Raw genomic sequence first — 23,412 nt, 5'->3', positions numbered from 1 at the left:
CGGAGCAATCGCGTGCAGCTAATGGGAGGGGTCTCTGCTGTTGGAGAGGGTGGGATGGGAGGAGTCTCAGAATCAAGATCCAGGCAAGATCAGGGATAAAAAATTGGAAACCCACTTATTTCAAGCCAGGATTGTGATAAGAAGGACTTTGGTGAACAGCCCTAGGGTGAGGCCCACAAGCAGAAGCAATCGGATGGCACCAAAGACAGCACCGGCCCCCAGAACCCTGCAGAGCCTTGAGTAAGCGGGGAAGGCTTGCTGGCCTTCCCAGGCATGAGCATCCTATCCCTGGCCCCAGGGAGGGGGTAGTCTCTGCTCCCACCAGGTCAAGGTTTGGAGGAGGGTGAAGAACTTCGTGCATGAGACAAGGGGCATCAGAACAAGGTCCACCCCCAGCCTCCTCCCCCTAGCACCATCCTTTCCTCCTCCCTGGAGAGTCCTCCAAGGCCCCGGGGAGAACTAAAGCACAGCCACGCTCTTGGCAAGGCACCATGGCAGCAGAGCACGTAGGCGTAAGCACATGCAGTAGAGAGATTTGGTGTAGAGAAATAGAGATTAAGTAGGGCTAAGGCAGCTATAAACGTCATAGTTTTAGATGCATTTTCAGGTGCCAAAGAATTGCCCTTGGCTTTGAGAGCTGGACGGTGAGCTCAGCTGGGGCTGGGAGCCGGTGGCACCGTGTAGTACTGAAGCTTTCCCACACAGGGCCCAGGGGTGGCAGCGCCCCATCCAGGGAAGTCCCCTGGGTGGATCCGCCATTCAAAACTTTCCTGTCCTTTTCCTCCACGCCAGCGGAGATACAGGCTAAGACTCCCTAATGCAGGATTTCCTTTGAGCATCATGTCGGCAAAGATTCCAAAATCTGAAAAATTGAAACACCTCTGGTCCCAAGCATTCTAGATAAAGGGATACACACCCACCTGAAGGCCCCCCCCCCCCGCTTCTCCATCAGCACCTCTAAAGATGATCCCAAGAGCCTTCATCCCTCTCTCCAGGAAGATCTTTTACTGGAGGCCACATGCCTGTGAGAACCAAGCGCTAGACCAGGCGTCTGCCTGGCTGGCTGATGCCGGGTGCGGCTCTCCAAGCCTGTTTCTACCTTTGAACCAGGAAAAGAACATCCACTTCTCTGCCCCGTAAACAGATCCTAGACGCTGAGCACTTTGGGTTTTGTGGGGTGCTGGGCCATCCCTCTGTGGCTGCCTGAGTTGGTCCCATACAGGCATCTCTTCCCTGAAGGCTGACCCGGCCCTGCCCACGGCACGCCTGGGAGCGGCTCCTGCCCAGGCCTATGGCCGGAAACGCCACAGTGGCTCCTCTGGCTGGCATGAACTTCACGATGACACCTGGGTCTCAGTGCAGTTTGTAGGAAAGGAAGGATGCCACGGGGTCAGATCGTGTGTGGGGGAGATTTGGTACAGAAGCGAACACAGGAATGAAGATGGCAGAAACGTCACGTAAGGCGAGGCGTGTGTCTGCTGGCCTCTCGCCTATCGCAGGTCTGAACTGCGCACAGCATAAGGCTGCAGTGCTGAGACTCAGCCCCTCCCCGGGGGGCCACAGCCTGGGCCGTTCACTCTGCACGTGGCAGTCTTGGTTTCTGCACCTTTGAGCAGAATGCTAGACACAGTGGTGGTTTGCCCTCTGCTCAATATCCCTCTAACAAATCACCATGCAAAACATTCCAGCTGGGCACAGCCACCCCACGCCGGGACCCCCACACCGGGACCTCCACTCCCTTCCCTCTGCTGGGTGTGATTTGGCCAATATCCAAAGAGTTCACTTCAGAAAGGGCAGGGTGAGAGGAAGGATATCATGGGGGTCCCTGGGCTGGGCCAGCCCTGGGGCGGACGCCAGAGGGCCCAGCTCCCTCTGGGAAATCCTGCTCGCCCTGCCCCAGCACCCATTCTGAGCCACAGCCAGACTCTGGGAGGGCTGTGCTTGGAGTTTTCCAGCCCTTGGGCCTTAGGAGTTAGCCCTCTGAAAGTTGGTGGCGAGGGCTCACTAGCAGCTGAGGGTTGTTGGCATTAGATAGAGCAGTCCCAGGGAAAAGGCTGCTTGAAGCAATATGGGAAACCCCAGACTGGTCTTTCTGCAACAGCTGAGTCATGCCAGCCTCCCAGAGCTTCTGCAGGGTCACACCCACCCAGCAGCGGGGCTGGGGAATTCCTGGGGTCTACTTGCCTCCGCTCAGTGGGTGGGACTGGTCTTCACCATGGCCGTGATTTCACCATGGGGGTGAACATGATTTTCACCCCCCCAGGCTCTGGTCCTGCATCTCGCCATCTCTCCCCTCTCCTCTAGCAAGACTCTTGCCCTCACAACCCACCGGCCCTTCAAGGCCCAGCGCTTGGGGAAAGCACCTCCTAGGCAGGGAGCCACCCAGCCAGGCACCACCAGCCAGGCCCTTCTCTAGGCTGTCAGGGCAGAGCCCTGGGTCTAGGCAGAGAGGGGAGCTCTGTGGTCGGTGCTGACTTGGCCAGGAGCCACCAGCCCCGGTGCTGTGGCCCTTTGATGTTGGCTGAGAGCTCTGGGCCATCCCTGCAGCCCCAGTTCCTGGGGAACTAACTGCAGGGAGGGCTCTGTGCACCTGGCCTCCTGCCATGTGATGGTGTGTGTTCACTCTGTTTTTCCAACCCAGGTCTCGGGCAGGCGTTTATTGTCGGTTTCTGTCCCAGAGATGAGGGGAATGGGGTGGCCAGGAAGGAGGAAGCCTTCACTCCAGCAATCAGGCCCCCGCCAGTACTGGGGTGGGCTCCAGTTCAGGGGCTTAGGAGGCACCATGGAACGCATGGGCTTATTCCCAGGGGAGCAGAGGCCTTGTGCAGACCTCACCTCCTGCAGTGTGGGGGGATGAGATGCCTGGAGGGGCAGGAGGGAGAAATGGCCCACTTGGTAATAGCCATTACCGCGTGTCAGCCCTGGCCAGCAGGGGACAGGCCACCTCTGCCCCTGCCTCCCCAGCCCTGTCCTCAGGCCAGGAGGACACTGGCCCCTCCACCCCTCATTCCTTCTGCTTCTGAGAGCACCTGAGCTTCAGTGAGAGCACAGCAGCCCGGCCGGGGAATGAGCGGCACCTGGAGACAGCCCACCCTCAAGAAGAGCATGGAAGTGTCTGGGGCGGATGGTAGGGACAGGGGCTTCAGGACAGGGGAAGGCGGTGGGGGCAGCTGGCAGGGAGGGGGTGAAGTTCCAAGGGTGCACTGAGAAGGGGACTGGGGTGGAAGGGGAAAAGGGCAGTGCGTGGCAGCCCCTCTGCTCCTGTCTTTCTCCCCATGCCCCTCGGGAGCCGCCATCCAGCCCCCACTCTGAAGCACCTCCCACAGGGACCCCAGCCACCCCACTCACAGCACACACAGCTGCTAGGAGCCTCCCACCGCACTGCCGGGTAATCACAAGCCACGCTTCCTGAGCGCATGCTGGGTGCCTAAGACCTTGCGTTTCATGTATTCACAGCCCGCCTCTGAGGAATGTACTATCATCTCTTTGATGACAGGAAATTGGGGCCCAAGAAACTTGATCTGGGGCCTCAGGATGCGGGGAGCTGGAGGCCAGCTTTTCTGGGGGCAGCCCCTGGCCAGTTACAGCTCACGAAGCTCGTCAAGGATAGAGCTGAGAAAACAAACTCTGAAGGCTGAGCTCTTAACCACCAAGCTAGAGGCCTCCCGCCCTCCTCTTGACCTCTGCCCTGGGAGGCCTGCCCAGACCCCCGTGCCCACGCACCCTCTGCCCTCCAGATGCACAGATGCTTCTGGTCAGAACCGCACCCTGCTCTTCAGTGCACCAGTGTCCCTTGTAGAGTTCTGTGCCGTGGCTTCTATCCCAAGTCACTCGGGAGTAAGCTACGCGCACTGTCTCCCCATCTTCACCCAGGGATGTGAAGAGCTGGTGACCGCGGAGACGCTGGATGGGACAGCATCAATCTCGGCACTCTTGGGAGGAGAACCTCAGAGGAAAGCCGGGACCCCGTCAGACTGAGCTAGCAATACGCCAGGTCCGGAGCTCCCAGTCTGTTACTGCAGCGAGCCTGCAGAAAGAGTCCGCCATCAGGAAGGTGGTGGACTTCTTTCTCCAGGTGCCGCCACTACTGCTCTGGAGCCGTGGGAATGCTGCAGTCTCCTTCCACAGAGAACGTGCTCTCCAGGTGTGTGGAGTGCCTCAGCCGACAGCCTCGGGCTGCAGCCACAGAGGCCACGTGCTCCAGGCACTGAGCCAGTGGTATGGGGGGTCTGTCCCTTGTTCCTGCAACAGCATCCTTGGCCCTGAGCTGCTGTTGGTGTCGCAGCAGGGCCCTATCAGATCTGCTTCACAGCCGACCAGTTCTCTTCCTCCCTCTCTCCCCTCCCAGGGGTCCGATCCCCATTGTGATCTGAAGGCTGTCCCTGTCCAATCCCGCCCCTTCCTCTTGGGTGTCACCTCCCACCGAGCTTTGTCTCAGCATCTGCTTGCCGGAGGATGGAAACTGACACCTCTGTCCTCTGCTGAGTAATACCAAGACGAAACCCAAAGGACTTTTCTCTTTTGTTTTTTATTTTTATTTTAGAAACGGGGTCTCACTCTGTTGCCCAGGCTAGCCGTGCACTGACACGATCACAACTCACTGCAGCCTCCACCTCCCGGGGTCAAGCCATCCTCCCACCTCAGCCTCCTGAGGAGCTGGGACCACAGGCACACACAAACATGCCTGGCTAATTTTTTATCTTTCTTATTTTTTGTAGAGATGAACATCTCACTGAATTGCCCGGGCTGGTCTTGAACTCCTGGTGGCCCAGTCTGGTCTCGAACTCCCAAAGGACTTTTGAACAAAAACTCTCAAACTCATTGTTCACCATGGAAATGCAAAACCAAAATAGCACCGAGCTATCATTTTATACTATTAGACTGGCAAAGGTTTGGAGGCTAGATCCTGCCCAGTGTTGGTGGGGATGGAGCAGGGCGGCCTGCAAGCCCTGCTGTGGGATTAAAGTGTACCACTGGGGAGACCTCACCACAGGCCCACCTTAGACGGGAGCTCTGTCCCTACAGTTTGGTCCCCAGATATCTCTCTAAAGAAACCCTCATTCGGGCTCAGAGCACCGTGTTTGAGGATATGAATGAGAGTGGCTCGTCATGGCGGCAAGTTGGAGGTCACTGGGGTTCCATGGTTTGGGAGGCAGTTGGGCAAAATGCAGGGCTGCCCACAGTGGGGACCCCATGGCACTGGAGGCACACGCGCAGCAATGTGGAGGGACCCAGCAGATGGAGCCGGGTGGAGAAAACGCGCCAGCTCACATCTCAGTTAAAACACACGTGCACGAGCAACAGCACACTTGCTCGTGAGACTGCCTAGGAGCCAGTCCACGGCGCGGAGAGAGCCGGCAGCGCTGTCTCATTCACTGTCTCAGTCCAGCTTCCAGCCCTGCGCCATCCTTATGCGAGAGTCCCTCAGGTGTGTGGCAACCTCAGCTCTGCACACCCAGCCTTGGACACCCACAGCGCAAACAGGGACCCTCCCAGAGCTGCCCCCAAGCCCTCCCCTGGCCTGTGTGCGGGCGTCTGAGCGGGTGGAGGCCAGCCATGGGCTCTGCTTCCCTGTGAGCCAGGGTCTGGGCTGAGTCTAACCTAGAGGCCCAGGGTGAGCGCCGGGGAGGTCACATCATTCCCGGAGTTTGGAGGGATCCAACACAGCTCCCCTGAAGTTGGCTGTGACTTGGGCCTGTCAGAAGCAGCCTGAGAGGAGGGTCGCAAGTGACCCAGACCTGGGAAGGAGGGAAAGGTTTGAATTTTGCAAAAAAAAAAGATAACTTTGCCCTTTTCGCTTGATCTTGGGGGGACAAGATGGGGGTGACGCCTCCCGAGACCGGGAGAGGAAGGCCACCTGGCGAAGCTGCAGTCCCAGCATTATCTGTATGTTAAATTGATGTTTTAAATCAGAGTTGATATCCAAGTAATTAAAGAATAACTAACAAGCACAGGGACTAGTGAGGGGCTGGGCCAGATTCTCTGCAACCCATATGGCTTCACCTACTTTCCAAACCCCCGGTTCTGTGAGGACCGAAAATGACCATCCCAGACTATTCCAGAAACAGCCTGGGGATTCTGAAAGTTTCCCAGAGCATAGGCAGTGAAAGAGAGAGAAGCTCAGCCCTTCTGGAGGGGACGGGTGGCTCAGAACAGAAGGTGGAAAGGGAGAGAAGCTCAGCCCTTCCAGAGGGGATGGGTGGCTCAGAGCAGAAGGTGGGGATGCAGTTCTGGGGGCGCCATGGCCGAGCACCACAGACCCGGGACTTGCACAACAGAAGCGGGTTTCCTCACAATTCTGAGCCGGAAGGCGGAGATAAATGCGTGGGCACGGCTGGGTTCCCCGGACGCCTCTCTCCCTGGCGCAGAGACGATGTGTTGTTCTCCCCGGGTCCGTTCCTGTGTGGGTGTCCGCGTCCCCATCAGGACACCAGTCAGATAGGAGGAGGGCCATCCAGTGACCTCACTTCACCTTAATCACCTCTGGAAAGTCCCTGTGTCCAAGCACAGTCACGTTCTGAGGTCCTGGGGGTCAGGGCTTCAACTTACGAATTTTGAGAGCATTCAAGTCAGCCCACAACAGTGGACTCTGAAATAATCTTTTAGGAACTGGACTCCTCAAGGACGCTTTAGAAAATGCCGGCCTCGTTCTGTTGCAAAGGGGTAACTGAGGAAGAGGGGCTGAATTTTCACAGGAAGACGAGCCCGGTGGCAGGAAGTGACAGTGAGAAACTGCAGCATAAAGCGGAAGCAAAGGCCGACTGTGACTATGTGGTCGCCAGCTCGCCTTCCCCGTCAAACCTTGCTGGATTTTGTGTTTCATTTTCATTGCCAAAAACATCATTCAGGTCGGGTGCAGTGGTTCATGCCTGTAACCCCAGCACTTTGGGAGGCCGAGGTGGGAGGATTACTTGAGCCCAGGAGTTCAAGACCAGCCTGGGGAACATAGCAAGACCCTGTCCCAAAAAAAAAAAAAAAAAAAAAAAAAAAAGGCCAGGTGTGGTGGCACACGCCTGTAATCCCAGCACTCTGGGAGTCTGAGGCGGGCAGATCACCTGAGGTCAGGAGTTCGAGAACAGCCTGGCCAATATGGTGAAACCCCGTCTCTACTAAAAATACAAAAATTAGCCAGCCAATCATGGTGGTGGGTGCCTGTAATCCCAGCTACTTGGGAGGCTGAGGCTGGAGAATCACTTGAACCCGGGAGGCAGAAGTTGCAGTGAGCGGAAATCACACCATTGCACTCCAGCATGGGTGACACAGCCAGACTCCGTCTAAAAAAAATTTTTAAAAAATTAGCCAGGCGTGGCGGTGCATGCCTGCAGTCCCAGATACTTGGGAGGCTGAGGCAGGAGGATCACTCGAGCCTGGGAGGTCAAGGCTGCAGTGAGCTGTGATCACACCACTGCACTCCAGCATGGGTGACAGAGCTAGATCCTGTTTCAAAAAAAAAAATAAAGTCATCATTCTCTCATGTATGTGTATATTGTTTCATTTGTTAATTAAGGTATAATTTTACATACAGTAAAACTCACCATTCTTCGTGCAGAGTTCTCACAAAAGTGTACAATTGTGTGGCATCCACCACAATCCCTGTATAGAAGAATCCCATCATCCCCGGAATTTCCCTGGACCCTTCCATAGCCCCCCAGTCCGTCACCCCCTGAATTGTTTTCTGGCACCCCGCCCCCCTTTCTTTTTGAAGTGGTTGTTTTGCAGGAAACATCACCCTCTCTCATTTTACAAATACTGCAGACAGATTTTGAAGCCCAAAGCATCATAGAGGCAGCAGATCAGGACAGGGAGGATTGAGGCGGGGAGGCTCTACCCTGACTGTAAGAAGCACTTGAGAGACCTGCAAAAAGCCAACAGGAGAGGCAGAGACTGTGGGGGCCAATTGGTACAGGTCCTGCCCTGCATGACAGGGCCAGTGGCCCCCACAGTGCTGAGGATAAAATCCAACTGCTCATCCAGGCTGCTGGAGCCTCCTGCCTTCAGGCCACCCCACTGGCCTCTTGCCCACTGTGCCCCACTGTCCAAGCTCTCGCCTGCCCTGGGAGGGGCCCCTGCAGCTTCTTGTGCCCAGGTGCACGTCCCTCTCTTTTCCCATCTGGGCGCCTGCTGACATTGTACCATGAATTTGAACACCACCCTGCAGATGACCTGGCCTCAGTCCATGAAGTTTCCCTTTCGTCTTCTGCAGGGCACCGGCCCCTAATGCCATCTGACGGTTTCCCTGCTCACAGGATCTTCCATTTGTTAGCCCCCCAGAGTGCCCAGCCCGAGTGAAGAGCATGCAGGAAACAAGCCCCTGTCCTCGTGGAGGCTACATTCCGAGAGGGGAGGTAGGCAACACACACACAAACGACTCCGTGGTATGTCATGCTGCGATGCTGGCTGTGGAGGAAAATGAAGTGAGGCCTGGTGAAAGCCAGAGGCCATGGGGCTGCCGAGGAGGAACAGGGACAGGGTAGGATTTGCTTAGAGCAGGGCAGGTCGCGTGGGACTCTGCGGGCCACTGAAAGGAACTTGGCTTTTATTCAGAGGATGTTAAAGCGTGAGTGACATCCTCTGACCTTTTATAAAAGAGGCAAGAGTCTAGGGAGCCCGGGTAGAAGTGAGGGCGTCTGGAGGAGCCACAGTGGGCTCAGGGAGTGAGCCCACGCGAGGGCGCAGAGCAACTGGACGCTCCAACAGGGCTGGTGGAAGTGCCGAACGGTGTGCATCACCTTGGAAAGCAGGCAGTTTTTAATACCATGAAGCTCGTCCAGCCCTATGATTCGCATTTCCACTCCTAGGTATCACACTCAAGAGAAGTGAAGACGCCCACAAAGGGCTCTGCAGCAGCACTGCCGGTGAGAGCTGCATCCGGGGATGCATGGACTGGCCTGTCATTCCAGCACCTTGGGAGGCCGAGGTGGGAAGCATCGCTGGAGCCCAGGAGTTCGAGACCAGCCTGAGACCTCCAGAGGTGGAGACCCCCCCCCCACCACCTCCACTAAAAACTGAAAAAGAAATTAGTTGGGTGTGGTGTGCGCCTGTAGTCCCAGCATTATCTATATGTTAAACTGATGTTTTAAATCAGAGTTGATATCCAAATAATTAAAGAATAAACAACAAGCACAGGGACTGGTGAGGGGCTGGGCCAGATTCTCTGCAACCCACATGGCTTCACCCACTTTCCAAACCCCTGGTTCCGTGAGGACCTAGAATGACCACCCCAGACTGTTCCAGAAACAGCCTGGGGATTCTGAATGTTTCCCAGAGAATCATTAGGAATTATCCCAGCGGCGCTGGAGTAAGTGGCCAACTTAAAGTTGGACGACACTGTCTGAAACAGTCGCGTAAGGGGTAAGGGTGGAAAGCCTGGTTCTCACTGCGCTGCCGGCTCCCCGCCCCGCTCCACAGCCCCGCGCCGGCGCGGGCTCCCCGGGTCCCCGCAAGCCGCCGGGGGCGGGCCGGGGCGGGCCGGGGCGGGCCCGGGCGTGGGGGGCCGAAGGAGGAAGCGCGCGGGGCGCCATAAGGAGGAAGCGGGTAGTCGACCGTGTCCGCGCGCCTGGGAGACGCTGCCTCGGCCCGGACGCGCCCGCGCCCCCGCGGCTGGAGGGTGGTGAGTGCACCCGCGCCCCTCCCGGGGTACGCGCCGAGCCCCAGCCCGTGACCCCTGCCTGCCGCCTGCCCCGGCGTGGAGCTCAGGGCCCGCCGCCCGCCCTGGGCCCGACCGCGGTGGGAGCCAGAGGAGGGGAGGCGGGGGGTCAGAGCCCCAGGCCTCAGCAGCGACCTGAGGGCCGGGTCTCTCCCGCCTCCCCTCCGCCCGGGCGCCCTCCTCGGCGCGGCCGGCAGGTCGGTGCTGAGGGTCGGGTCCGCCTCGGAGGCGGGGAAGGCTTTGTTGTGTCCTCTCCACGTGGCCTGGGGATTCAGGGGAGGGGTGCGGGGCGCGGGGAGGGGGAGGGGCCGAGGCCAGCCCCGGAGAGGAGAAAACCCGCGGGCCTGGCCGGGTGCAGGCCACCCTTGCCGGCGGATCGGAATCCCCGCCCACACCGTGGTCTTTCCAGCACCGCAGACACCTGCCGGCTCCTCCCGAGCGGAGCTCAGGGCTGACAAAGCGCGGTCAGAGCGGCCGCTTACTGGGGCTCGCCCGCTCCTTAGAGCACTGGCAATGATGTGCGGATCCTCGCTGCTGCTGCTGGGAAACTGTTGAGTGGCTGAATGACCCCAGGGGACCCTGGGAGAGCTCTGAAGCCCTCAGCCACCAAGTGGCTGGGCTGGCAAGGGTTCATTCATTCATTCAACAAATACGAATGTGCAGCGGTGCTGGGGTCATGATGGCTCGGTGGGCAGCGAGGGGCCGGGCCGGCTGGAGGAGCACAGTGCGGATTCTGTAAGTGGGCTGGGGGCTGGGCCTTCTGCGGCTGGACCGGCCTTCACCTGCAGGCAGGGTTGGGGCAGGTGAGGAGCAGATGGACCCACCCAGAGCTCTTCCACCTTCTCAGGCTTGCACCCCCTTCCTGGAGCCTTATCCACACCCTCAGTCCTCGCTCTCACTGTGGGGGAGCTGCAGAGGATGCGGTTTTTCCACATTCCATCTCCACCCACAGGAGGCTTTGAGATGGGGGGAGCTCTCCTGGGCCTGAATGTGTGCCGTCCTGGGGCCCTGCAGTCCCCTGGGAGTGATGACCGAGACCAGATTCCCTGAGCTGGGGTCTTAAGGGTGTGGGGAGCGCAGAGGGATCCTCTGGCATCAGGAGTTGAGGTAGACAGAGCTCCAGGGAGGCACTGCCGGGAGGACGACCCTGGCCAAGCCTCTGCCTGCGGCCCAGGGTGTGCGTCCCTGCCCCTTCTGCCCCTCTTGCCCAGGGAGGGAAGAGGAAATGCGGGGTCAGCAGTTCGTGGCTGGGGTTTAAAGGCAGGGATCTCCCAGGACGGGCACAGGGAGCATGAGGAAGCAGCTCGTGTCTCTGTTCATGAGATGTGAGAGTGGTGACTGAGACGAGGGGTGCAGAGACCTGCCGTGGCTGGGGCGAGGTGCTGTTAGTGCTTCTGAGGAGGTTGGGCAGGATAGACGGTGGCTGTCAGGTGGTCTCAAGGTTGTGCAGGAGCTTGCCAGAGAGGGAAGCGGGGCATGGCCCCAGGGTGGTATGGGGGATTCTAGGGGGAGGGTGCCTGGGTGGGAAGGGGTGTCGCATGCCCAGCTCAGAGGCCTTGCTTAGGGGTGCTCACAGGCTCGGCTGACGTGAGGATGCTGATCGAAGGAGCTGAGGGTCCCACTCATTTGCAAGGGGGAACTGTCTGCCCAGGAGCCCCAGCAGTGCCCAGGCCCCTGGACTGACAAGGATGGATGAGGGTGATGGAGGCGGATGGACATTTGACACTGGAGCCTGCCTTCCAGGCAGAAGGGCCGTGAGTCATCCTCTCTCCGGTGCCAAGTGGAGGGGCTGAGCAGGTCCTCGACGTGACCGAGGACTGTGCCCGTTTTTTCAGGGGACCCGGAGCGCTGGCTCTGGCTGTCAGCCCATGAGAGACCTCCCTGCAGAGCTGTGGCCTCTGGAAATGCTTCCTGTCGTTGACATCTGGTCACCATTCTCCAGCTGGGGCTGTGGAGGGCAGCACAGGCCTGGAGTGTCCCCGAGAGCAGCTGGGCGTCTGCCCCTGCCCACCCCACAGGGCCTCCCACTCACAGGGCCTAATTAGCAGCTCCATGGCTGCCATACCTGGCGGACCGCCCTCAGCGGCCACATATATCCTTGCCCCAAGCCAATGACAGGTCTGAAGAAGACACTGATGGAGCTGAAGCACAGGACAGAGACAAGCACCTGTGTGCCGGACGCTCACGGAGCACTTGATGTGTGCTGACTGGCTCACATCACGGTGGTCAGACGAGGGTAGCATCCCCATTCTCCAGATGGTGTAACTGAGGCAAGGAGAGGCTAAGTAACTTGTCCAAGGTCACACCCGAGGGAGTTGGACTTCAGGGTCTCAGCTCTGAGCATCAGGCACACTGCCCAGATTCCCCCTCCACATGTCACACCTGTTAGGCCACTGGGGGTAAGGAGCCTTTCTGTGGCCTCGCTCCCCTGTGAGCCCCTGGGAGGGAGGCAGCCCAGATTCCAAGGCAGCGAGTGACGTGTGTGGGAAAGGGGAAGCTTCCGGGGCAGGGGTTCAGAAACCTCGCAGTGGGGTTTTCCCCAAGAGCCACTGCTGGCAGGTTCCTACAGCCCCATCCAGCCCCAACACAGCCTGCCTCTTTTCCTTCCTCTTCCTCCTTTTCTCTTTCTGCCTGCGTTGGTCCAAAATGGGGAAGTTTCACATAAATGGCAAACAGGCCACAAAGCAGCTATTTCTGGAGGTGCTGCTGCCTTGCAGATTGAATTCTTGGTTGGCATTTTAGGTGTTTGTTTTCAGGATCCTTTTCTGTAGAAGAAGCCAACAACTAAGAAAAGGAGGAAGTGGCTTTGGGAGGCTGAGACGGGAGGATTGCTCGAGCCCGGGAGGTCAAGGCTATAGTGAGCTGTGATTGCACCGCCGCACTCCTTGAATCCTATCAGCTTGGCCAGGGTGGGGGTGGGAAGTGGGGTCTTAAAGGGGAAAGACCAGCCGGGCGCGGTGGCTCACGCCTGTAATCCCAGCACTTTGGGAGGCCGAGTTGGGCGGATCATGAGGTCAGGAGATCAAGACCGTCCTGACTAAGACGTTGAAACCCCGTCTCTACTAAAAATACAGAAAATTAGCTGTGCGTGGTGGGGGGCGCCCATAGTCCCAGCTACCTGGGAGGCTGAGGCAGGAGAATGGTGTGAACCCGGGAGGTGGAGCTTGCAGTGAGCCGAGATCGCGCCACTGCACTCCAGCCTGGGGGACAGAGCGAGACTCCGTCTCAAAAAAAAAGTGGGGGAAAGATCACCATCTGGATCATAGACCAGACCTGAAAGGGGGCTGGTCACTTTTAGGTACGTAGAGTAACTGGAAAGACACACTGTCCTAGTGGAAGCCGTGGGTGGCCTCTGTGGCTGCTGTGGCCCCAGGGGAGGAGATACCTGTCTTCTGGGGCTGCGGCTCAGTCTGGCTCCGGGTCCGGATCACCAGGGAACTTTCTGCAGAGCATCCTGCCTGGGCTTTGCCTGGTCTGCATGGGATCCCCCAGCCTGTGGCTCAGCCCGCTTCTATGCTCATAGCCATGCTGGCGCCGGGGGCAGTCCTTGGCTTCCCTCCTCGTTGGCTTAACAAACCCCCTTTCTTCAGAGGAAGGAAAGTGTGCCGTGGCCTGGTGGGACAGGCTGGGCTTGGAGGTGCCAAATGTCCTGTGTGCTTGGGGACAGCTGCTGAACCTCCCCGCCGCCGTCACGGCCCTTGGCCAAGAGCTTTCATCCAAGGCTGGCAGTAGTTGCTCTATTTCTGTTATGGGGCACCTCTGCATCTGGGTTTGGTTTAATTTGTGTAACTGAATGTCTCATTTTATTCCTCACATTCATTCTGTGAAGTTTCCCTTGTCTGGGTGAGTGTTCAGGTGACTACAACCCTGGGTCCGGGATGGGCGGTGTTCCAGGAGCTTCTGCTTGGGCCTCTCCCATTCTCCCCCAAAACCAAAGAGAAGGGAAAACCCTTTGTAAGTGGATGTCACATGTCAGGTGCTTTTTCTGATACTGCATGTGATCCCACAAGGCAGGGAGTGTCCCCTTTTACAGACGGGGAAGGTGAGATCACATTGCAGGTTCAAAGCCCGACATGACCTGTCCACCTTTACAGCTTCCCTCTCTGGGCTGGGAGTGCGTGAGGGCTTCTTAAAATGCAGATGGACTTGGGGGATTGAGCTTCTCTGGGGTTCTGGTGTTTTTGTAGGGAGAGCCATCTGGGGTCAGGGCTGGGGTGGGGACAGCAGGAGAACAGGACAGGAGTGGCAACCCAGGGCCAGGGAAGGGAGTAGGCAGGGGTAGCATATGGGGGTGGAAAGAAAGGGGCCAGTGGCACGAAGGGCCCTGGGAGGCAGCAGCGTGTCCCTCCTGGGGGTAAGTCCAGGAAGGTGGCCATCCCCGAGGAGCTCCGTTCCTGTGACAATGAGGCTAGGCCTGAGGGCACCGGAGGCCAGCGGGCAAGTGCACACCCCCAAGCCTGGCGGGGCACCACGTGACCAGGCCTGGTATTGGGACTGGGAGTGGCTCCTGCACCAGCTGGCATCTGCCTAGAGACAGGAAGGTGGGTGCCTCCTGGGTTCAGCTGGGAACTCTGAGCTTTGGGTGCTGGAGGTCACTGCGTTTGGGATGGCTGCCTCCTGGACCCAGCTGCCTCTGTGTGTGGAGTCAGTAAGGCACCGTCCTGGCTGCGGAACTGAGGCAGGCATGCTATGAGAAGATAAAATTGCCTTAACAACTGTCCCCAGGATCCTTCCAGCAGGCACTTCCTTGCTGTGCCCTGGAAAAGCGGGGTGGCACTCTGGATGACAGCACAGCCTCAGGGTGCTTCTCTGTGGCCCACACACCCTTCCGGCCTGATGGCCACGTCCGTTCCTGTTTACCCAAGCCCCACTTCCCCTGAAATCCAGGCAGGGAGAGATGGGGCCTGGCTGTGAGAAACCTGGCCCCAGGTGTCACCATTTCCCCAAAAGCCTTGTTTCTCCCTCTGGGTATCCCTGAGGACCCCTGCAGACATCCAGCCCCAAACCCGGCCAACTGAGCAGGGAGCCCAGCTAGGGGCCTTTGTGGAAGGGTCACCCGTGTACTCACACCAGCAGCCAGCCGCTCCTGGGTCATCAGCCCCTCCATAGGAGAGGGGAGGCGTTTCTGCCAGGGGCTGGGTGGCATTTCTGCCAGGCAGGGGCATGGCGTTGGCACGGCACAGGCCCTGCTGTGCTCTGTGAGGCTCTGCCCTGACTTGGACTCTGCCTGGGATGTGGTGAAAGCCTTGTTCTTTATTTATTTAGTTATTATTTATTTATTTATTTATTTATTTATTTATTTTTGAGACGAGTCTCACTCTGTCGCCCAGGCTGGAGTGCAGTGGCACGATCTCTGCTCCCTGCAAGCTCCGCCTCCCAGGTTCACGCCATTCTCCTGTCTCAGCCTCCTGAGTAGCTGGGACTACAGGCGCCCACCACCACGCCCGGCTAATTTTTTTTTTTTTTTTTTTTGAGACGGAGTCTCGCTCTGTCGCCCAGGCTAGAGTGCAGTGGCGCGATCTCGGCTCACTGCAAGCTCTGCCTCCCGAGTTTCACGCCATTCTCCTGCCTCAGCTTCCCGAGTAGCTGGGACTACAGGTGCCCACCACCATGCCGGCTAATTTTTTCTATTTTTAGTAGAGAAGGGGTTTCACCGTGTTAGCCAGGATGGTCTCGATCTCCTGACCTCGTGATCCACCCGCCTCGGCCTCCCAAAGTGCTGGGATTACAGGCGTGAGCCACCTTGCGGCCCAGCCTTGTTCTTTATGACAGAGTCTACAGAGAGTTCAGGGAGGGGCGGACCAGGAGGCTCACCAGAGGCTCACCAGGGATTCTGGAGTAGCTGAGGGACACCTGCCTTCCCCTGCCATCCACCATGCCCCACCCAGAAGCCCAGGGCCTGGGCAGGGGAGGGAGGCAGGACTCCCGGGTCACAAAGACCTGGAGCATAGGGGTCCACTGACTTCTGGGGCCTGTGGTGGAGCCTCCGACCTCTGGGAGGGGGCCCCAGTCACCTGAAGAGGCTCTTGCCTCCTCATGTCTCCTCCTGCTGGCTGCCTTTTCAAAAACCGTTTGATTGAGACATACTGCACATGCCATAAAATTCACCCATCAAAGGGCACAGTTCAGTGGCTTAGTATATACACGGTGTGCGACCGTCACCACCGCCTACAGGCAGAACATTTCAGTAACCCAAAGAGAAGCTCCAGACACACTGGTGGCTGCTCCGCAGCCCTGGCAGCCCTAATCTTTCTGTCTATGGAGTTGCACATTTAGGACATTTCATACTAATGGAATCACACACTACGTGGTCTTTTGTGACTGACTTCTTTCATGTAGCATATTTTCAACTCATGTTAACTGCTGTAACTCATGTTACAGTAGGTGTCAATGTTTCCTTCATTTTTTATTTTGTATTTTTTGTAGAGACAGGGTCTCACTGTGTTGCCCAGGTTTGCCTCAAACTCCTGGGCTCAAGTGATCCTCCTGCCTTGGCCTCCCACAGTGCTGGCCTTTTCTTGGCTACCAGAGGCAAATTCAAGCAGCAATGGAACTTTTCACTTCGCGGACGCTGTTTCTCCGTTTTCTCTCCGTGTCTCTGTTTCCCCTGCCCCTGACTCTGTGTTCTGTTGGTTTCGGGCTTACCCATGGCTTGGTGGCATCAGTGATTGAGCATTGGTTTGTGGTCATATTGTTTTGCTCATCTTTGTAGGCGGATGACAGAGATCAGTTCTCTGTGGTCAGATACGGAGAATCTGGATGATCAGACTTCGTTCTCTGTGTCCTTAGCCTCTTTTGAGCTCAATTCAATTCAGAATTTTGTGTCCACCGGGAAGGATACCTCTTTGACACCTGGTCCAGGGACTTTTCCAGTTTCTGTGTTTACTCTTGCCCTGGGGCTGAAGTTGTAATTCAGAAAGGCCTTTGCCTCTCACTAAGTGAATGTGGAAAACTTTTTTTGAGTCATTGGGTAAGGTCATGAAGTGTCTTGAATTGGAGGAACTCTATTCTGATTGGTTCGTGATTAGCTTATGTAAGTAAATATTTCTAAGATTTCCAGAACGTAGGAAAATCGTACTTCTAATAATTTATTTCTTTATTTATTATAATTTTTTTTTTTTGAGATGGAATCTCACTCTGTCACACAGGCTAGAGTGCAGTGGCGCGATCTCGGCTCACTGCAACCTCTGCCTCCTGGGTTCAAGAGATTCTCCTGCCTCAGCCTCCCAAGTAGCTGGGATTACAGGTGTGTGCCACCATGCCCAGCTAATTTTTGTATTTTTAGTAGAGATGGGGTTTCACCATGTTGGCCAGGCTGGTCTCGAACTCCTGATCTCAGGTGATCCTCCTGCCTTGGCCTCCCAGAGTGCTGGGATTACAGGCGTGAGCCACCACGCCTGGCTGTACTTCTAATAATTTTAATGCACTAGACTTTAAATTTAAAAAGAAATTCTTGGCCGGGCATGGTGGCTCAGGCCTGTAATCCCAGCACTTTGGGAGGCTGAGGCAGGCAGATCACGAGGTCAGGAGATCCAGACCATCCTGGTTAACACAGTGAAACCCCGTGTCCACTAAAAAATACAAACAATTAGCCGGGCGTGGTGGCAGACGCCTATACTCCCAACTACTTGGGAGGCTGAGGCAGGAGAATGGCGTGAACCCAGGCTGCGGAGGTTGCAGTGAGCAGAGATCACACCATTGCACTCCAGCCTGGGCAACAGAGTGAGACTCTGTCTCAAAAAACAAACAGACAAACAAAAAAGGCTGGGCGCGAAGTGGCTCACGCCTGTAATCCCAGCACTTTGGGAGGCCGAGGCGGGTCGATCACCTGAGGTCGGGAGTTTGAGACCAGCCAGGCCAACATGGAGAAACCCCCTCTCTACTAAAAATACAAAATTAGCCCGGCATAGTGGTGCATGCCTGTAATTCCAGCTACTCGGGAGGCTGAGGCAGGAGAATCGCTTGAGCTTGGGAGGCGGAGCTTGCAGTGAGCTGAGATCGCGCCACTGCACTCCAGCCTGGGCGACAAAGTGAGACTCCATCTCAAAAAAAAAAAAAAAAAGAAAGAAAGAAATTCTTCTTACAGAAACAAACTGGAATATTTTAAGAATCTTAAGTTCAGGCCAGGTGCAGTGGCTCACACCTGTAATCCTAGCAATTTGGGAGGCTGAGGCAGGAGGATGTCTTGAGTCCAGGAGCTCGATACCAGCCTGGGCAACATGGCAAGACCTTGACTCTACAAAAAATAAAAGATTAGCCGGGCATGGTGGTTGTGCCTGTAGTCCCGGCTCTGGAGGCTGAGGGGGGAGGATCGCCTGAGCCCGGGAGGTTGAGGCTGTAGTGAGCTGTGACTGCACCACTGCAGTCCGGCCTGCGGAACAGAGCCAGACCCTGTCTCCAATAATAATAATAACAATAATCATCTAAGTTCACGTAATTGATGTAAATCTTTGGCAAATGAGACTAATAATTTGGGTTTTAAAAAGCTATGTCTTTTCTTCAGTTTCTTTTTATTATTATACTTTAAGTTTTAGGGTACATGTGCACAACGTGCAGGTTTGTTACATATATATACATGTGCCATGTTGGTGTGCTGCACCCATTAACTCGTCATTAGGTATATCTCCTAATGCTATCCTTCCCCCCTTTTCTTCAGTTTATCAGCATTAGCTATAATACAGGTGTACCTTTTGTTCTACTTGGCTTCCTCCCCTAAACTTCTACGGGTTTACTTATCAAATCAGCTAATATTACTGTTACATAATGTTTAAGATTATGAAAAATATAAGTTTGTGTTCAAATAAATGTGTTCATTATTCTGAAAGTGTACTGTACCAAAATAAAGCTTAGGTAACTTAAAACCTTGGACTGATACTAAATGGAGTTGAGTAGGTATTCTTTGGATATCGACATACTTACTCGGTAAGACAGAATAGTAAAACATTGGTTACTAGGTATACCTGGGTTTTTTTCAGCTCTAAAAAGAGGCCGTATCTTGGCCTGCAGTCATGACCTTGGCAAGTCACTTCTTTCAATGCCTCAGTTCCCCATCTGTCAAATGGGGGTGATCATACTGACCTACCTCACAGGGGCGTTGTTGTGAGGCATTGTAAGTCAAAGTTAATAGAATACCGCAGGGTCCTCTGTGGAGGATGTCTTGGGTCCTCTGTGGAGGATGTCTTGGGTCCTCTGTGGAGGATGTCTTGAGCCGGACACACAGGCTTTGGTCCTCACTGAGCTGTCTCCAAGACTGGAACTACTTACTGACTCGGCAAATTCTCTACCCCCACCCCTCATCAGATCTGCTAGTTCAGATGTTGACAGTGTTTTCATGAATGTTGGAATCTTACTAGTCCAGACTTACTTAGGATGTTGTTGGGGAAGGCACTTGGGATTTTCTGTGTCTTGCATTCACAGAGGGAGGTCATTTCAGATGCAGGAGCATTGGATTAGGGAATCGTGAGGCAGAGATGCTACCGCTTATTTCTCTCTGCAGGTTGGGGATGAAAGTTCCATTCCCCATGGGTTTGAAGCAGACTCAGACTGTCTCAGGATCAAAGCAACCCTCAATGGTTTTGATTTATGTCATTGCTTACCACTCCCCAACCGATCCCAGGACAGCTGGGTCACTGTACCCCTTTGTGGTATCTGTACCCGGGCCTCTCCTTCCTCATAGGGACAGCTGATTCAATAAATGTGACCACCTTATTTCCACCCCCCAACAAAAAGCTACATTGGAATTATTTTTCCTAGAAATGTGTGTAACACTCAGAATTGGGCATTGATCCTTAAAGCTTCATCCGATTCACTGTATTCAGCATCTGTGATCTCTTAGTGTCTGCAGTCTTAACCTAACCTTGACCTTTTTTCCCTCTGGTTTGAGAAAAGTTTGGACACTATTTCTACTTGCCCAGGTGTGGGCTCAAGAGCCTTACTCTTTCCATCTCAGTGTAGGGGCACAGCCAACGCCTCTTCCCAATAGGGCTCTTTCTCCTTTCCCTCTCCTTGGCCCTAGATTTGTAATCCATGAAAAAGCACAAGGTCCTGGCTGCTTGCAGTCACATTCTGGTTCTCTGTGTTTTGTGGACTGTGCTCTCACTGTTCACCCAGCACTAGCAGTACCAGACGGTTCTGTGGAGTCCTGGGGAATGGAGAGAGCACAGTCTGACGCCCTGCCAAGTAGCCAGGAGTTGACTTGCCCATGGTCCGCTGGCTTTCCCACCACTTCCTACAGGATGGGATCTAAGAGACTCAGTAGCTGGGTTTCTTTCAGCACGCTGTACTGTCCCAAGTAGCAAACAAATCACTCTGTAGCCAGATTTCTGAATGGAAATGAGAAATTGAATTCTCCATGGACTTTTAGGTTTATGGGGGAGTTTTGGTTGTGTTTCCTGGTTTTATTTCAGCCAAACATGTCTGCTTTTGATTTTTTTTTTTTTTAAATTATAAGTGGTCTATATATATGTTCACCTTGTAAATGTCAGTGTTTAAAAAGAGTAAGCATTTATGTGTTTCCATAACTGACATCTGATACAGACCTCATTCTCTCCCCCTCTTCTACCCTCCTCTTTTCCCTCTTTTCATACTCTTGTATTGGTTCTAATAAATGGTTGCTTTTCAAAAAAAAAAAAAAAGTATGTTTTCATGTTGAGGAAGCATAGAAGGGCGCGAGTGGCTGTGAAGGCTATGGTGTGTGTGCCCACAGGCGTCTGCTAAACATGTGTCTGGAGACAGCTCTCAACTGTCAGCCTGCGGTTCTCTGTAAAATGGAAGTCAGTTACTTTGTTAAAAGTTATAATAAGGCCAGGCACGGTGGTTCACGCCTGTAATCCCAGCACTTTGGGAGACCAAGGCGGGCGGATCACCTGAGGTCAGAAGTTCGAGACCAGCTTGACCAGCACGGAGGAACCCGGTCTCTACTAAAAATACAAAAATTAGCCAGGTGTGGTGGCGGTCACCTGTAATCCCAGCTACTTGGGAGGCTGAGGCAGGAGAATCACTTGAACCCAGGAGACGAAGGTTGCAGTGAGCCAAGATTGTGCCACTGCACTCCAGCCTGGATGACAGAGCCAGACTATGTCTCAAAAAAAAAAAAGTTATAATTAATACACATGATGGAGACAAACAGCTATGTAAATGCTTTTATTTTTCAAAGAAAAAATACAGGTGGCCAGGCGAAGTTTCTCACGCCTGTAATGCCAGCACTTTGGGAGGCTGAGGCGGGTGGATCGCCTAAGGTCAGGAGTTTGAGACCAGCCAGGCTAACATGGTGAAACCTCATCTCTACTAAAAATACAAAAATTAGCCGGATGAGGTGGTGCATGCCTGTAGTCCCAGCTACTCGGGAGGCTGAGGCAGGAGAATCGCTTGAGCCTGGGAGGCGGAGGATGTAATGAGGCAAGATCACGCCATTGCACTCCAGCCTGGGTGACAGAGTGAGACTCCGTCTTAAAAAAACAAACAAACAAACAGGTTTTGTTTTTTTTCCTCAAAGCAGCACTTCTCAAACTTTTTGGTCTCTAGATCCCTTTATATATAAAAATTATTGAGGAACCAAAAAGCGTTTGATTAAGTAGGCTTTTATCCCTATATTCTGTGTTAGAATTAAAACTGAGAAATTTTAAAAATAGGCCAGTCACAGTGGTCCTTACCTGTAATCCCAGCACTTTGGGAAGCTGAGGCAGGAGGATCACTTGAGCCCAGGAGTTTGAGGCTGTAGTGGGCCATGATCGTGCTACTGCACTCTAGCCTGCTTGACAGAGTGAGACCCTGTCTCCAAAAAAAAAAAAGTGTTCATTCATTTGAAATTTGTGAAATTGTTTAATTAAATTAATTAATTAATTAATTTTGAGACAGAGTCTTGCTCTGTTGACCAGGCTGGAGTGCAGTGGCCTGATCTTGGCTCACTGCAACCTCTGCCTTCTGGGTTCAAGCAATTCTTCTGCCTCAGCCTCCCGAGTAGCTGGGTTACAGGTGCACGCCATCATGCCCGGCTAATTTTTGTATTTTTAGTAGAGACGGGATTTCACCATATTGGTCAGGCTGGTCTCAAACTCCTGACCTCAGGTGATCCACCCGCCTCGGCCTCCCAAAGTTCTGGGATTACGAGCGTGAGCCACCTCGCCTGGCCAACGTAACTATTTTATAAAACAAAACATTTCTATTGAGAAGAACAGCATTGCGTCAGTGTTTCTGCAGATCTCCTGGGTGTCTGACTGAATAGAGGATACCTGGATTCTCGGTTGTTGCAGTATCTCTTTCGCTCAGCCCCTGGGAAAGTCCACTGTACCCTCATGAGAGAATGACAGAAGAAACTGTGTTATGGAAGCTTTTCAACCTCACAGATTCTCTGAAAAGGGCCTCAGGCACCCTAGGATATCCTGGTCCACACTCTCTCCTAAAGCGATTTACCAGTGTTTTCCAGAATATGGTAAAAATGACAAAAAACATAGTGAAGGGCAAAACTAGGTATGTGCCTTTTATCATCATGGTACCTGAGTCTGAAAAGCAGCAATGAATTATGTCACAATTTTAGCAAAGTTTGCTGGCCTTGATGGTCTTGCCTTCTTTGTTTACTCATTAATGCCTTTGCCTTCAAAGTGAAAGATTATGGCCGGGTGCGGTGGCTTATGCCTGTAATCCCAGCACTTTGGGAGGCCGAGGCGGGTGGATCACGACGATGTCAGGAGATCGAGACCATCCTGGCTAACACGGTGAAACCCCGTCTCCACTAAAAATACAAAAAATTAGCCGGGCGTGGTGGCGGGCGCCTGTAGTCCCAGCTACTCGGGAGGCTGAGGCAGGAGAATGGCGTGAACCCAGGAGGCAGAGCTTGCAGTGAGCCAAGATCACGCCACTGCACTCCAGCCTGGGCGACAGAGCGAGACTTCATCTCAAAAAAAAAAAAAAAAAAAAGTGAAAGATTATTCTTTCCTTTCTGTGTAATGCACCTGGATGGCAGAGGTTCTGTATAGCAGAATCATTTTTGATGCTTTATGTTGACTTTATTATGTTTGTGCTTATTTAAGGGGAAAAAACAAAGAACAAAGGTTCATCACTTGTGAAACATCAGGTTTGTTTTGTTAATGGATAATCAAGTCTCTCTCAGACACCCGCGAGCCTGCCTTAAACAACTGTCCAGATTGCCTCTAAAACTGTCCCTGAGACTCTGAGTGCCCCTGGAAAATCACAAAGATTTGATCATTCACCTTATAAAAAGAAAAATACCATAGACATAATGAGGTTTGTTTTAAGCGTTATCTTGTAAGACCTGCACGGGAAGAGTGGTTGTCAAATCACAAGAGACGCTGGCCACAGCTCCTTGGTTCGGTGTGTATGTGTAAATGTTATTCATGGAAATAATTCAGAAGTTCTGGGCTTGGCGGGAGGCCCCGTGCTTGTCAGTGCCCTCCCTTGCTCTGTGTAGGATATTTTCATTCAGAAAATATCTGAATGAAATATTCAGAAATATCTGAATAACGCATCTGGCCAGATGCATTAGAAAATCGTTATGAAAAGAGACTTTGAGTCTTCCCATGCTGATGTTCCCCATGTGGGAAAGGATTGCCTGGTGCTTTCACCAGTGACTAATAGAGCCTCTGGGCCCAGGCTTCTGCATGGACATTACCTCAATGGCTCTCAGACCACCCCAGCGCGCCGGGCCAGGGCTTCGTGAGGCTGGAAGCTGGCTCCGAGTCCTGCAGAGTGCGACGGGCTGCTGAGGGAACTGAATTGTGGTGGTTTGCTTGGAATATAGCTGATGTGTT

At 54.2% G+C, this 23,412-nt stretch overlaps 1 protein-coding gene, 1 long non-coding RNA gene and 1 other non-coding gene across 9 annotated transcripts in view, besides 13 other annotated features; 2 read left to right on the top strand and 1 right to left on the bottom strand.

The window, feature by feature from the left end:
• Positions 1,798–2,811: an enhancer, noted in NCBI's record as "nonconserved acetylation island sequence 74". NCBI's record gives its function as "activates a minimal heat-shock promoter by reporter assays in Jurkat T cells {active_cell/tissue: Jurkat}" and the evidence as "EXISTENCE:reporter gene assay evidence [ECO:0000049][PMID:17135569]".
• Positions 1,987–2,436: an enhancer, noted in NCBI's record as "active region_18635". NCBI's record gives its function as "activates an Ori minimal core promoter by ATAC-STARR-seq in GM12878 lymphoblastoid cells {active_cell/tissue: GM12878}" and the evidence as "EXISTENCE:reporter gene assay evidence [ECO:0000049][PMID:35858748]".
• Positions 3,482–4,389: an enhancer, noted in NCBI's record as "H3K4me1 hESC enhancer chr22:18262368-18263275 (GRCh37/hg19 assembly coordinates)". NCBI's record gives its function as "activates a minimal SCP1, AML or CMV promoter by ChIP-STARR-seq in naive H9 embryonic stem cells {active_cell/tissue: H9 hESC(naive)}" and the evidence as "EXISTENCE:reporter gene assay evidence [ECO:0000049][PMID:30033119]".
• On the bottom strand, positions 4,510–6,701 carry LINC00528 (long intergenic non-protein coding RNA 528). Its single transcript, NR_103718.1, has one exon. It is a non-coding gene; the product is annotated as a long intergenic non-protein coding RNA 528 (long non-coding RNA).
• Positions 4,657–4,706: an enhancer, noted in NCBI's record as "active region_18634". NCBI's record gives its function as "activates an Ori minimal core promoter by ATAC-STARR-seq in GM12878 lymphoblastoid cells {active_cell/tissue: GM12878}" and the evidence as "EXISTENCE:reporter gene assay evidence [ECO:0000049][PMID:35858748]".
• Positions 6,187–6,666: an enhancer, noted in NCBI's record as "active region_18633". NCBI's record gives its function as "activates an Ori minimal core promoter by ATAC-STARR-seq in GM12878 lymphoblastoid cells {active_cell/tissue: GM12878}" and the evidence as "EXISTENCE:reporter gene assay evidence [ECO:0000049][PMID:35858748]".
• The window catches only part of BID (BH3 interacting domain death agonist), a 40,528-nt gene continuing 26,441 nt past the window's right edge, over positions 9,326–23,412 (top strand). For 3 of the 7 annotated variants that reach the window (NM_001244570.1, NM_197967.2, NM_001244569.1), the window contains exon 1: positions 9,496–9,610. Coding sequence is in view for 1 of the 7 variants with exons in the window: in NM_197966.3 (NP_932070.1) it covers positions 10,302–10,381 (80 nt within the window). In the remaining 6 variants the exon portion in view is untranslated. Of the gene's footprint in view, positions 9,352–9,495; positions 9,611–9,948; positions 10,382–23,412 lie in introns of those variants that run through there. The other 4 variants (NM_001244567.1, NM_001196.4, NM_001244572.1 and 1 more) reach the window with 4 other exon arrangements.
• Positions 9,394–9,493: a silencer, noted in NCBI's record as "silent region_13442". NCBI's record gives its function as "represses an Ori minimal core promoter by ATAC-STARR-seq in GM12878 lymphoblastoid cells {active_cell/tissue: GM12878}" and the evidence as "EXISTENCE:reporter gene assay evidence [ECO:0000049][PMID:35858748]".
• Positions 9,514–9,563: a silencer, noted in NCBI's record as "silent region_13441". NCBI's record gives its function as "represses an Ori minimal core promoter by ATAC-STARR-seq in GM12878 lymphoblastoid cells {active_cell/tissue: GM12878}" and the evidence as "EXISTENCE:reporter gene assay evidence [ECO:0000049][PMID:35858748]".
• Positions 9,584–9,653: a silencer, noted in NCBI's record as "silent region_13440". NCBI's record gives its function as "represses an Ori minimal core promoter by ATAC-STARR-seq in GM12878 lymphoblastoid cells {active_cell/tissue: GM12878}" and the evidence as "EXISTENCE:reporter gene assay evidence [ECO:0000049][PMID:35858748]".
• Positions 9,684–10,013: a silencer, noted in NCBI's record as "silent region_13439". NCBI's record gives its function as "represses an Ori minimal core promoter by ATAC-STARR-seq in GM12878 lymphoblastoid cells {active_cell/tissue: GM12878}" and the evidence as "EXISTENCE:reporter gene assay evidence [ECO:0000049][PMID:35858748]".
• Positions 12,054–12,193: an enhancer, noted in NCBI's record as "active region_18632". NCBI's record gives its function as "activates an Ori minimal core promoter by ATAC-STARR-seq in GM12878 lymphoblastoid cells {active_cell/tissue: GM12878}" and the evidence as "EXISTENCE:reporter gene assay evidence [ECO:0000049][PMID:35858748]".
• Positions 15,418–15,477: an enhancer, noted in NCBI's record as "active region_18631". NCBI's record gives its function as "activates an Ori minimal core promoter by ATAC-STARR-seq in GM12878 lymphoblastoid cells {active_cell/tissue: GM12878}" and the evidence as "EXISTENCE:reporter gene assay evidence [ECO:0000049][PMID:35858748]".
• Positions 15,548–15,597: an enhancer, noted in NCBI's record as "active region_18630". NCBI's record gives its function as "activates an Ori minimal core promoter by ATAC-STARR-seq in GM12878 lymphoblastoid cells {active_cell/tissue: GM12878}" and the evidence as "EXISTENCE:reporter gene assay evidence [ECO:0000049][PMID:35858748]".
• Positions 15,618–15,667: an enhancer, noted in NCBI's record as "active region_18629". NCBI's record gives its function as "activates an Ori minimal core promoter by ATAC-STARR-seq in GM12878 lymphoblastoid cells {active_cell/tissue: GM12878}" and the evidence as "EXISTENCE:reporter gene assay evidence [ECO:0000049][PMID:35858748]".
• On the top strand, positions 19,732–19,811 carry MIR3198-1 (microRNA 3198-1). Its single transcript, NR_036168.1, has one exon. It is a non-coding gene; the product is annotated as a microRNA 3198-1 (primary transcript).

The sequence above is a fragment of the Homo sapiens genome, chromosome 22, assembly GCF_000001405.40.
Source record: "Homo sapiens chromosome 22, GRCh38.p14 Primary Assembly".
Lineage (NCBI taxonomy): Eukaryota > Metazoa > Chordata > Mammalia > Primates > Hominidae > Homo > Homo sapiens.
This window is presented reverse-complemented; position numbering and strand designations above follow the sequence as displayed.